The sequence below is a fragment of the Homo sapiens genome, chromosome 16 (genome assembly GCF_000001405.40).
Source record: "Homo sapiens chromosome 16, GRCh38.p14 Primary Assembly".
Classification (NCBI taxonomy): Eukaryota; Metazoa; Chordata; class Mammalia; order Primates; family Hominidae; genus Homo; species Homo sapiens.
The window spans coordinates 80,948,289-80,961,256 of NC_000016.10; the positions used below are offsets into that span (position 1 = coordinate 80,948,289).

At 40.8% G+C, this 12,968-nt stretch overlaps 1 annotated feature.

Moving 5' to 3' along the window:
* Positions 664 to 713: an enhancer, noted in NCBI's record as "active region_11172". NCBI's record gives its function as "activates an Ori minimal core promoter by ATAC-STARR-seq in GM12878 lymphoblastoid cells {active_cell/tissue: GM12878}" and the evidence as "EXISTENCE:reporter gene assay evidence [ECO:0000049][PMID:35858748]".

The following is a 12,968-nucleotide window of genomic DNA, read 5'->3' on the forward strand; positions in this document are numbered from 1 at the left end:
CACTCTAAACTAGTCTCTAAACTCCACATGGGTAAGGATTTTATTTCATTCACTCCCAAACCCTAGACAATGCTTAGCACTTGGCAGATTTCACCAGGGAGAACAGTGAAACAATAGATTTTCGAGGGCAGGGCCCCAGCCTCTCTGCTCTTGTCTGTGTCACTCCTTTGTTATGTTGTTAACAATAAGAATGGAGGGAGGGTATACTCTGTTCACTGGGAAAATCTTGCTATTAGCTGAATCGGCACACACACGGATTCTAGAGGACAGGGAAAAGATGTCTTTGCTTTTGCCCTTAAGTTGCCTATCAGTCTTAGTGGCGAGACCTCCTCCCTCTCCTTCATCAGCCACAGTGCTCTGGGTCATTCACCCCTTCCATTCTCCCTCCCAACCAAGGTCTTCCTCAGCCTCTGCCTCGGGGTGGGAGTGGTTCAGGTCCATGTAGTTTACCTTTTGATAGAGCTGGGGTAGGGGTGAGCAGGGAAGGGAGTGAAGGAAGAGATTGTGGAAGGCAGCCTCAGTGGGGAACAGCTAAACACATTAACTTTCTACTGCTGAGATCAGCCACTCTCAGTGCAGGACCCTGATAAATGGATTTGGTTTTCCTTCTCCTTTTTCAAATATCTGCTTCTGCCATCCTTAGTATGGGCCAAATTCCTAGAAATAAAGACAAGTGGGTACCACACCCAAGACAGAATTGGTTGGGGACTCCATCCAAACTTGCCACTTCCCAGCAGTGGTTCTCAACCAGGGGCAGCAGCGCCCCCTGGAGGCACCTGGAAAGGTATGGTGACATCGTTGCGGTCACCCTGCTTGAGAAGTTGGTGGGTCAGGGCCAGGCTCGATGAACAGCCTGCAATAGGCAGGATACACCTGCACAACATGGCACTGTCTAGGCGAAAAGGCTGGCAGTGCACTCACTGCATATGCTGAGGCTTCTGGGAGGCCAGGGGCGTAGCCTGATATATTCACAGTGTTTCCCCGACATAAGCCCAGGCCCAGCAGAGAGAGGGAGCTCAAGGAAAACTCCTTGAGTGAGAGTGCATGAGTGAAGACAGCACTTCATGGCACCAGCTCACAGAACTCAAGGGCATGAGCCCTTTCAAGTGCATGAGCACACTGAAACCCAGGGTGTTAGCTCATCAGTAGTAAAAAGCAGACTAGGAATCTGAAGAAGAAATATCCCCCTGTGAGAAAGTAAATGAAATTTTCTTTAGATGTGGGGAGATTTTCTCTATTCCCGGGAAGCTATCGAGTTCCATCTCATCTCTCATTTAGAAATACGAGGGAGTTTGAAGAGACATAGTCACAGTAAAAAGAAAAAAAAATACATAAGGCTGGGCACGGTGGCTCATGCCTGTAATCTCAGCACTTTGGGAGGCTGAGGCAGGCAGATCACTTGAGGTTAGGAGTTTGAGACCAGCCTGGCCAACGTGGTGAAACTCTGTCTCTACTAAAAATGGGAAAATTAGTCAAGCGTGGTAGCACACGCCTGTAATCCCAGCTACTGAGGGGGCTGAGGCAGCAAAATTGCTTGACCCAGGAGATGGAGGTTGCAGTGAGCCGAGATCACACCACTGTACTCCAGCCTGGGCGACAGAGCAAGACTCCATCTCAAAAAAAAAAAAAAATATATATATATATATATATAATATATAATAAGATATATAATAATATATAAGATATATATATTATATAATATATATTATATAATATATATTATATATATTATATATAAGATATATAATATATAATATATATTATATATAAGATATATAATATATAATATATATTATATATAAGATATATAATATATATTATATATGACATATGATATATATTATATATACACACACATTTTATATATACATATATACATATTTTTAATATATACATATATACCTATTTTTGTATATCTGTATAGATATATGTATCTTTTTACATATATGTATATATATACACACACACTGGAGTGCAGTGAGCCGAGATCAATGCCCAGATGTTGCAAAAAAGTCAAAACCTTAGTATGCAAGTTAATCCCTCTCTATTGATGGTGACCATGACCAAACATAGCAGAGCGGAATTTGCCAGGGGAGTTAGTTACATAGGCTTTCAAAAGAAAGTGAGGGGAGCACCCAAGCCCATCTCATTCGGGAGGGTAGGCAAGTGACTGAGGGCTGGGCTCCAGATCAAGGGCACTGGTTCATACCTCAGTTCTGACAGCTAGTAACTCAGTGGGTTTGGGTAAGTGGCCAAGCTTCTCCAAGCCTCAGTTTCCTTACCTATCAAATGGGGACAATGATACTTACCAAACAAGGCAACATGATTAAAAGAGATGACATAAGTAAAGCACAGTGCTTGGCAGTGAATTGTTATTATTATCATTATTAATTCTTGGAAAAGCCACCCCAGACGAATGACCAGTAATAAAGCTACTGACCACCTCGGGGAACAGAACAGACACTCTGCCATTTAACCCAAGGACATGAGCAGACTGAAAGAATGTCGTATTCTTAAGACACATAAATGAAGTAATTTTATTCTGCCTTTAAGTCATTTTGTTCCCTGGTTGAATAAGACGGTGTTGTGACTCACACTTTAAATTATAATTGTGTTTCTATATCCCTCTAGTTATAAATATTTCATTTTTAGGCTTCTTTAGGAAAAATGAAGGTCTTCCAGCTAACTTTATTCCTCATTCAAACTTTACAAATACATATTCCCCCCACCCTCTCCCCCAACCCCACCAACTCCAGGCCTTTGCAGGTGTTTTGCTTTACCAGGAAGTAGATTTGTGTTTTATTCAAATAACTCTGAATATCGATACTAATGAAAACACTTGGCATCTGTTTTCTGTTGAAATGTGAATGCTTCAGAGCAATATTTACAAAACCCACTTCCCAACCACTGCTCTCAGATTTGATTAAATAACAGTAAAACATGACATTCCAAAGCAGAGTCACAATCTGTTCTTGAGCTGTGTCAGGGCCAAGCCTCTATATTTTCTAATTTGTGAAACATCACTTACCCAGCTGATAGAACAAATGTTCTCTCCTCTCACTCAGATGCAATACAGTTTGCGTTTTCCTAACTGAAGTCCCAAAGTTCCTTCCACACGTTTTAGGAATTGGAGGTAATATGGGGAATAATTCAAATATTGGTAGAGTGTGCAGTGGGGCACATTTGTGAGTTGACCAACCTTTTAGTAAGATGAGCTGCCGTAAACAAATCAAGGTAATTCATGGTAGAAGCAGGGAAGGGAGCAATCTCAAAATTTTTATCAAACTTGGGTCTCCATTCAGAACAGAGAAAATTCTCTCTGGAGATCCTGGCAGACAGGTAGCAACTTCTACACATCCCATGACATAGCCACAGCATTTTATCTAAAGGAAGTCCACTATTAATAAATATTACTAGGTGTAGTTAGCTGAATAATGGCACCCCAAAATATCATGTCCAAATCCCTGGAATTCATACATGCTACCTTATGTGAAAAATGGATCTTAGCAGATGTAATTAAATTAAGGATCTTCTTTTCTTTGAGGTGGGGTTTCACACTGTTGCCCAGGCTGGAGTGCAGTGGCAATTATAGCTCACTGCAGCCTTGAACTCCTGGGATAAAGCGATCCTCCCGCCTCAGCCTCCTGAGTAGCTGGGACTACAGGTACATGCCACCACACCTGGCTGATTTTTGCATTTTTTTTAGAGATGGGGTCTTACTATGTTGCCCAGGCTGGTCTCAAACTCCTAGCTTCAGGCAATCTTCCCACCTCAGCCTCCCAAGTAGCTGGGATTAGAGGAATTGGCTACCGTGCCCAGCCTAAATAAGGATCTTGAGATGAAGAGATAACCTTTAATTATCTAGCAGGGGCCCTAAATGCAATCACAAATGTCCTTATCAGAAAGAGGCAGAGGGAGACTAAACACAGAAGAGGAGAATGTCACATGACCACTGAAGGAGAGATCACAGTGATGCAGCTACAAGCCAAAGAATGCCAGCAGCCACCAGCAGCTGGAAGAGTGAAGGAATGGATTCTTCCCTAGAGCCTCCAGTGGAGGGTGGCTCTGCTAAAACCCTGGTTTCAGCCTAACGAAACTGGTTTCAGACTTCTGGCCTCCAGAATTGAAAGAGAATAAAATTCTGTTGTTTTAAGCCAATCACATTTGTAGTAATCTGTTGCAGATGGATTAAAAGACAAATCACAATGGAGTCAAGGGTTTAGCAATTAAAAAATTAATCCAATTTTACAGATGAAAAAACTAAACAGAGAAGAGGCCAAATGGAATGAAAAATCCATACACACAGCAGGAGACAGAGCAAAGGCCTGGACTCAGGACACTTCTGGGTCTCACAGCCCTTTCTTAGGAAGAGAAGTCAAGCCTTTGGCCAGATTGGGTGCCCTTCTAACCATCTCGGGAAGTTTCTAGCACTGACCAATACTGTCCAACATAATGGCCACTAGCCACATGTGACCTTTAAATTAATTGAGTTAAATTAGAAATTTAGTCCCTCATTTGCACAAACCACATTTTAAGAGCCCAACCCCCATGCATGGCATATGACCACAACATTGCACAGCACAGATCTATAAACATTAACATCATTGTAGGAAGTGCTGCTACTGGACAATGCTGGACCAGACACCTGGAAAACCCAGCAGATTTCTCCCCAGACTTATCAACTCCATGTCTGCTTTCTTCATAATATATACCAACACCTAGTACACTGGTCAGGATGCCTTGGGAATCCAGTAAAGACATATGAAGGCACCAGGGACTGTGTACGGCTTTCCTCATGCCATGAAGGTCACTGCAATATGGGCCAAGGACCATAGCCAGTGAAACTTCCTTGGCTGAGCCCAGGAGCAGCACAGGGAGGCTGAGAACAAGATAGAGGAGACTAACACTCTTCTTAGACCCTCCCTAGACCCAACTCATGCCTCAGGAGAGTCCAAGGAGCTCCCAAAGCCACCTAGCATTCAGAGCACCCATCAGAGGCCACTCCTGGCCTGTTCTGATGGGATGTCCTCGTGGGATCCCAAGAGAAGTCTGATACGCTCTATTACACACTCTCTAGAAAATATCGGTTAATATTTGTATGGCCTTTTATACTCCAAAACCAATACTATGGTCTCCTTTGATGCATATAACTGGTGAAGCACAGATCTCCATTTTACAGATGAGAAAATGGAGGTTTAAAGAGGTGAGGTGAGGTGAGTTACCAAAGGTATATGGGGAAGCCAAGATCCAGTGAAAAATTCCAACTCTAAAATTTACTTTTATATACATTTTTCTCAAGTGTCTATGGAACATTATCCAGGATAGATCACATGTTAGGCCACAAAACAAGTCTTAATCAAGGAACACTGAAATCATATCAAGTATCTTTTCTGATCACAATGAGATGAAACTAAAAGCAGTAACAGGAAAAATCACAGACAATTTACAAGTATATGAAAGCTAAATAATATGTTCCTGCATGACTATTGGGTCCAAGAAAAAATTAAAGAAGAAAATATAAAAATATATTGAGACAAAGGAAAATGGAAACACAACATATCCAAACTTATGAGATGCAGCAAAAGCAGTACTAAGAGAGACTGTATACCAATAAATACCTGTATCAAAAAAAAGGAAAGATCTCAAATAAACAACCTAATGTTATACCTCAAGGCACTAGAAAAAGAAGAACTAAGCTCAAAGTTAGCAAAAAAAAAAAAAAAAAAAAAAAGGAAATAATAAAGACCAGAGCAGAAATAAATTAAATAGAAACTAGAAAAACAATAGAAAAGATCAACAAAACTTAGCTAGACTAAAAAAAAAAAAAGAGAATATGGCTGACTAGACACAGTCAGGTGGAACAGCTGTCACCAAGGGACCAAGACGATGGGCGCACTCCTAACAGACCTTCAAAGGGAAGGCACCAAGAGTGGACAGAGGAAGGCTGGGCTGATGGGGAAGGAAACTGGGAACGCTGCACAGGACTACCGTGCACCAGGACTCATTCCTGGCCCCCAATGACTCTAGGGGAACAGGTTAGTTCACTTGGCCAGGAGCAACCCCATTCTTACCACGGCCCTCTGGAATCCCAGCAAGAGGTGACCCCTAGACCACCACAGACACTGTAGTTGGCAAGGAGAGCTGCTTAGAGAAGTGGCAGGGGCAGCAAGCCAGCTGACATGGAGCCCAGAGCGCTTGGTAAAGGAGCGTGTGTAGCACAGCACAGCCAGGGATGGCCATCCCTGGCTGACTTGCTCCCATTGGAGACTTTAGCCCCAGGGATACTGTCAGACCTGAACTCTACAGGGTAGTCTTCTCCATCAGATGGGACTGGTCTGACCTGAGCACCCCTTGGTCTGCTGGTCTCTCCCAGAAATCCAGCCTGACCGTGCCTGCTTGCAGGGCAGCCTCAGGTGCCCTGGGGCCTGTATCATAGCTTTAGCGCTGGCAAACCATGCCTGACCTGTAGAGAGCTCCAGTGGGAGGGCCCCCACAGCCACACACCAGCCTGACACTCCCTCCCCACATGGCAGCTTCCCCCTGGACCACGGCAACCCCTCACATTGCTTTACTGGTGCATGTGTGTGAACGGTTTTGCTTTTCTTGCCCTGCCAATGTAGATGTATATATGTTCTTTGCCCTGCCACTGCTACACTGCGAGTGCAGTCCACCCGCCCCTTCCCCCTACCAACTGCCATTGCAATTGAAGCCTTAGTGGGCACAGAGACAGCCAGGCCTGTCCTCACCAGCACCCTGCTCTGGATCCAACACTGTCACGGGAGTCAAACTAGGCATGAAGAACAGCAGAACCTCCCCCACTCTGAGCAACCATTCCTGCCTATGGAGAACACACAAAGGCCTGTGCCTGCTAGCACCTGTGCAAACATCACCACCAGCATGACCACAAGCATAGTCACCAGCAGGGACCTCTTGACACCCCCAGCCATGTTGCCTCTGCCACTGTGGTGAACGCCTGCACAGGGGCAGGCATGCTGGTACCCGCTATCACCCTGCCACAGCCAACTAGAGAGCACCCCACTACGCTGCTGCTGCTGCTGCTGCTGCTGTTGGCACGTACAAGCAAGGACAGATCCCCCTGTCACTGTATTATGAAACACTTTGGCTGACACCAACTATCAAAGTGTAGTGACCAGTGGTCTGCGAGCACCTCAGCCCCGCCAGTGCAGTGGATTTCTAACCGTGAAGAGACAGAGAACAAAGTCAAGGCCAATACAAGTTCCCCAGAATTAGAACACACAGTCTAGGAGTTGGGAGCTGAGCCCTAATTCCCTAAAATCTTCTAAAATAAAGCCAGTCTGCTGAATCCACGTTACACCACAAACCCTCAAGGTCATCAGATAGGATAAAAGAGGAAAAAAAAAACCATCAGCAAGTTCAAAGATTGAAGGAACATAAAATGATGAGAAAGAACCAGCACAAGAACCCTGACAACTCAAAAAGCCAGAGTGCCTTCCTTCCTCCAAACAACCACATCACCTCTCCAACAAGGGTTGTGAACCAGGCTGAGATGGCTGAAATGATAGAAATATAATTCAGAATATGGATAGAAACAAAGATCACTGAGATACAGGAGTACATTGAAACTCAATTCAAAGAAGCTAAGAATCACAATAAAACAATGTAGGAGCTGACAGACAAAACAACCAGCTTAGGAAAGAATGTAACTGACCTGACAGAGCTGAAAAACACACTACAATAAATTCATAATACAATCACAAGTATAATAGCAGAATAGACCAAGTGGAAGGAAGAATCTCAGAGCTTGAAGACTAGATTTGTGAAACAAGGCAGTCAGATAAGATTAAAGAAAAAAGAATGAAAAGGAACAAACAAAACCTCCAAGAAATGTGGGATTATATAAAGAGACCAAATCTATAACTCATTGGTGTCCCTGAAAGAGATGGGGAGAGTGTAGGCAACTTGGAAAACATATTTCAGGATATCATCCATGAGAACTTCTCCAATCCAACTAGAGAGGCCAACATTTAAATTCAGGAAATGTAGAAAACCCCAGTAAGATACTTCACAAGAAGATCATCACATAATCATCAGATTCTCCTTGGCCAAAATGAAAGAAAAAATGTTAAGACAGATAGAGAGAAAGGTCAGGTCACCTATGAAGGGAAGCCCATCAGACTAACAGCAGACCTCTCAGCAGAAACCCCACAAGTCAGACGAGATTGGAGGCCAATATTCAACAATCTTAAAGAAAAGAAATTCTAACCCAGAATTTCATATCTGGCCAAACTAAGCATCATAAGCGAAGGAGAAATAAGTTTCTTTTCAGACAAGCAAATGCTGAGGGAATTCATTACCACCAGACCTGCCTTACAAGAGCTCTGAAAGGAAGCACTAAATATGAAAAGGAGAGAACATTACCAGCTACTACAAAAACACACTTAAGTACACAGACCAGTGACACTATAAACCAACCACATAAACAAGTCTGCACAAAAACCAGCTAACATCATGATGACAGGATCAAATCCACACATATCAGCATTAACCTTGAATATAAATGTCTCATTTAAAAGGCACAGAGTGGATAAAGAACAAAGAGCCATTGGTATGCTGTCTTCAGGAGACTTATCTCATAGGCAATGACACGCATAGGCTCAAAATAAAGGGATGAAGAAAAATCTACCCAAGTAACTGGAAAACAGAAAAAAGCAGGGGTTGCAATCTGAATTTCAGACAAAACAGACTTTAAACTAACAAAGATCAAAGAAGACAAGGGCATTACATAATGAAAAGGGTTCAATTCAACAAGAGGACCTAACTATCCAAAATATATATGCACCCAGGACAGGAGCACCCAGATTCATAAAGCAAGTTCTTAGAGACCTTCAAAAAGACTTAGGCTCCTACACAGTAATAGTGGGAGACTTTAACATCCCATTGACAATATTAGACAGATCATCAAGGCATAAAATTAACAAAAATATTCAGGACCTGAACTCAGTACTGGATCAAATGGACCTAACAGACATCTACACAACTCTCCATCCAAAAACAATAGAATATACATTCTTCTCATTGCCATATGGTACATACTTTAAAATCAATTACATAATTTCCCATAAAACACTCTTCAGGAAATGCAAAAGAACTGAAGTCATAACAACCAGTCTCTTGGACCACAGATTTCTAATTTCTAATCAAATTAGAAATCAAGATTAAGAAATTCACCCAAAAACATAAAATTACATGAAAATTTAATAACCTGCTCCTGAATCACTTTTGGATAAATAATGAAACCAAGCCAGAAATCAAGAAGTTCTTTGAAACTAATGAGAACAAAGATACAACATACTAGAATCATTGGGACACAGCCAAGGCAGTGTTAAGAGGGAAATGTATAGCACTAAATGCCCACATCAAAAAGTTAGAAAGATCTCAGTTTAACCAAACATTACAACTAAAAGAACTAGAGAACCAAGAGAAAACCAACCCCAAAGCTGCTAGACAAGAAATAACCAAAATCAGAGCTGAAATGAAGGAGCCTGAGACACAAAAAAGCATTCAAAAGATCAACAAGTCCGAGAGTTAGGGTGGTTTTTTTTTTTGAAAAAAAATAAAATAGACCACTATGAGATTAATAAGGAAGAAAAGAGAGAAGGTCCAAATAAACACAATTAGAAACAACAAAGGAAAATTACCCCTGACTCCACAGAAATACAAAAAACCATCAAAGAATATTATGAACATCTCTATGCATACAAACTAGAAAAATCTAGAAGAAATGGATAAATTCCTGAAAACATACACCCACCCAAGACTGAGCCAGAAAGAAACTGAATCCCTGAACAGACCAATAACAAGCTCTGAAATTGAATCAGTAATAAATAGCCTACCAACCAAAAAAAGCTCAGGACCAGATGGATTCACATCTGAATTCTACCAGATGTACAAAGCAGAGCTAGTACCATTTCTGCTGAAACTATTCTTAAAAATTGAGGAAAAGGGACTCCTCCCTAACTCATTCTATGAGGCCACCATCACCCTGATATCAAAACCTGGCAAAGACATAACAAAAAAAAGAAAACTTCAAGCCAATATCCTTGATGAAGACTGATGCAAAAATCTTCAAGAAAATAGTGGCAAACCAAATTCAGCAGCACATCAAAAAGCTATCTGCCACAATCAAGTATGCTTTACCCCTGGAATGCAAGGTTGGTTCAACATACACAAATCAATAAGTGTGATTCATTGCATAAACAGAACTAAAGACAAAAACCACATGATTACTTCAACAGATGTAGAAAAGGTTTTCAATGAAATTCAACATCCCTTCATGTTAAAAACTCTCAATAAACTAGGTAATGAAGGAACATACCTCAAAACAGTAAGAGCCATCTACAACAAATCCACAGCTGACATCATACTGAACAGGCAAAAGCTGGAAGCATTCCCCTTAAAAACCAGTACAAGACAAGGATGCCCTCTCTTACCACTCCTATTCAACATAGATTGGAAGTCCTGGCCAGAGCAATCAGGCAAGAGAAAGAAAGAAAGGGCATCTAAATAGGAAGAAAGGAAGTCAAATTATCGCTGTTTACAGATGACAAGATTCTGTATCTAGAAAACCCCATAGTCTTGGCCCAAAAGCTCCGTAAGCTGATAAACAACTTCATTAAACTCTCAGGATATAAAATCAATGTACAAAAGGGATGTTGTTGGTGTATGGCATTTCCTATACACCAACAACAGTCAAGTCAAGAGATAAATCAGGAATACAATCCCATTCACAACTGCCACAAAAAGTATAAAATACCTAGGAATACAGCTAACCAGGCAGGTGAAAGATCTCTAAAAGGAGAGCTACAAAACACTGCTCAAAGAAATCAGAGATGACACAAACAAATGGGAAAACATTCCATGCTCATGGCTAGGAATAATCAATATCATTAAAATGGCCATATCACTCAAAGTAATTTATAGATTCAATGCTATTCTTATTCAACTACCAGTGACATTCTTTAGAGAACTAGAAAAAGGTATTTTAAAATTCATATGGAACCAAAAGAGGACCCAAATAGCCAAGGCAATCCTAAGCAAAAAGAACAAAGCTGGAGGCATCATGCTACCTGACTTCAAGCTATACTACAGGGCTACAGTAACCAAAACAGCATGGTTCAAAAATAGACACATAGACCAATGGAAAAGAATAAAGAACACAGAAATAAGCCTGCACAACTACAGCTATCAGACACTGGGGCCTATCAAGGGATGGAGGATGGGAGGAGGGAGAAGATCAGGAAAAATAAGGAATAGGTACTAGGCTTAATACCTGAGTATTGAAATAATCTGTATAACAAACCCCCGTAACACAAATTTACCTATATAAATACATGCACATGTACCCCTGAACTTAAAAAACACAAGAAGAATAAAACATGAGAGAAATGCGGAAACAATGTTCCTCAACACAATAAAAGCCATATATGATAAGCCCACAGCAAACATCATGGTCAAAAGTGAAAAGCTGAAGACTTTTCCTCTAGAATCAAGAACAAGACAAGGAGGTTCACTCTCAAAACTTCTGTTCAACACAGTACTGGAAGCCCTAGCCACAGCAATTACACAAGCGAAAGAAATAAAGCATACAAATAGGAAAGGATGACAAGAGATGGTCTCTGTGGACAACATGCTGTTATATATGGAATATCCTAAAGACTCCCTGAAAAAACCGCTAGAACAGATAAATTCAGTAAAGTTGCAGGATACAAAATCAACTTAACAAAAATCAGTCGTGTTTCTATACACCAACAACAAATCGTCTGAAAACAATCCCATTTACAATAGCATAAACACAGGAATACATTTAACCAAGGAAGTGAAAGATCTGTGTACTGAAAACTATAAAACATTGATGAAAGAAATTGAAAATAACACAAATAAATGAAAAGATACCCCTATTCATGGATTGGAATAAATTAATATTGTTAAGATGTCCATATTACCCACAGTGATCTACGGATTCAGTGCAATCTCTATCAAACTTTCAAAGCCATTCTCAACAGGAATAGAAAAAACCATCCTAAAATTCATAAAGAACCACAGAAGACCCTGAATAGCCAAAGCATTATCAACCAAAAAGAATGAAACTGGAGGTATCACACTACTGGATTTCAAAAGATATCACAAAGCTACAGCAATCAAAACAGCATGGTACAGACATAAAAACAGACACATCAACCAATGGAATAGGACAGAGAGATGAGAAATAAACCCAAACACCAAAAGCCAATTAATTTTTGACAAACGTGTCAAGAATACACAATGAGAAAAAGACAGTCTCATCAATAAACGGTGTTGGGAAAATTGCATATCCACATACAGAAGAATGAAAATGAACCCATGTTTCACCCCTTATACAAGAACCAACTCAAAATGGATTAAATACTTGAATGTAAGACCTGAAACTGTAAAACTACTAAGAAAAAACAGGGAGAGAGTTCCAGGACATTGATCTAGGCAAAGATTTCTTAGATACGACCTTAAAAACACAAGGAACAAAATCAAAAATAGATAAATGAGATTGCATCAAACTAGAAAACTTCTGCACAGCAAAGAGAACAATAGAATGAAGAGGCAACCTACAAATTGGGATAAAATACTTGCAAATCATACATTGAATCAGAAACTAGTATCCAAAATGTACAAGGAATTCACACTACTCAATAACAACAAAACAAATAACTCTCTTAAAAAATAGGCAGACTGGACGCAGTGGTACACATCTGTAGTTCCAGCTACTCAGGAGACTGAGGCAAGAGGATCACTTGACAATAGAAGTTCAAGGCTGTAGTGTGCTATAATCATGCCTGTGAATAGCCATTGCACTCCATCCTGGGCAACATACCAAGACCCCATCTCTAAAAAAAAGTAAAATGAAAAATTTTACATGGGCAAAGGACTTGAATAGACATTTCTCAGAAGAAGAC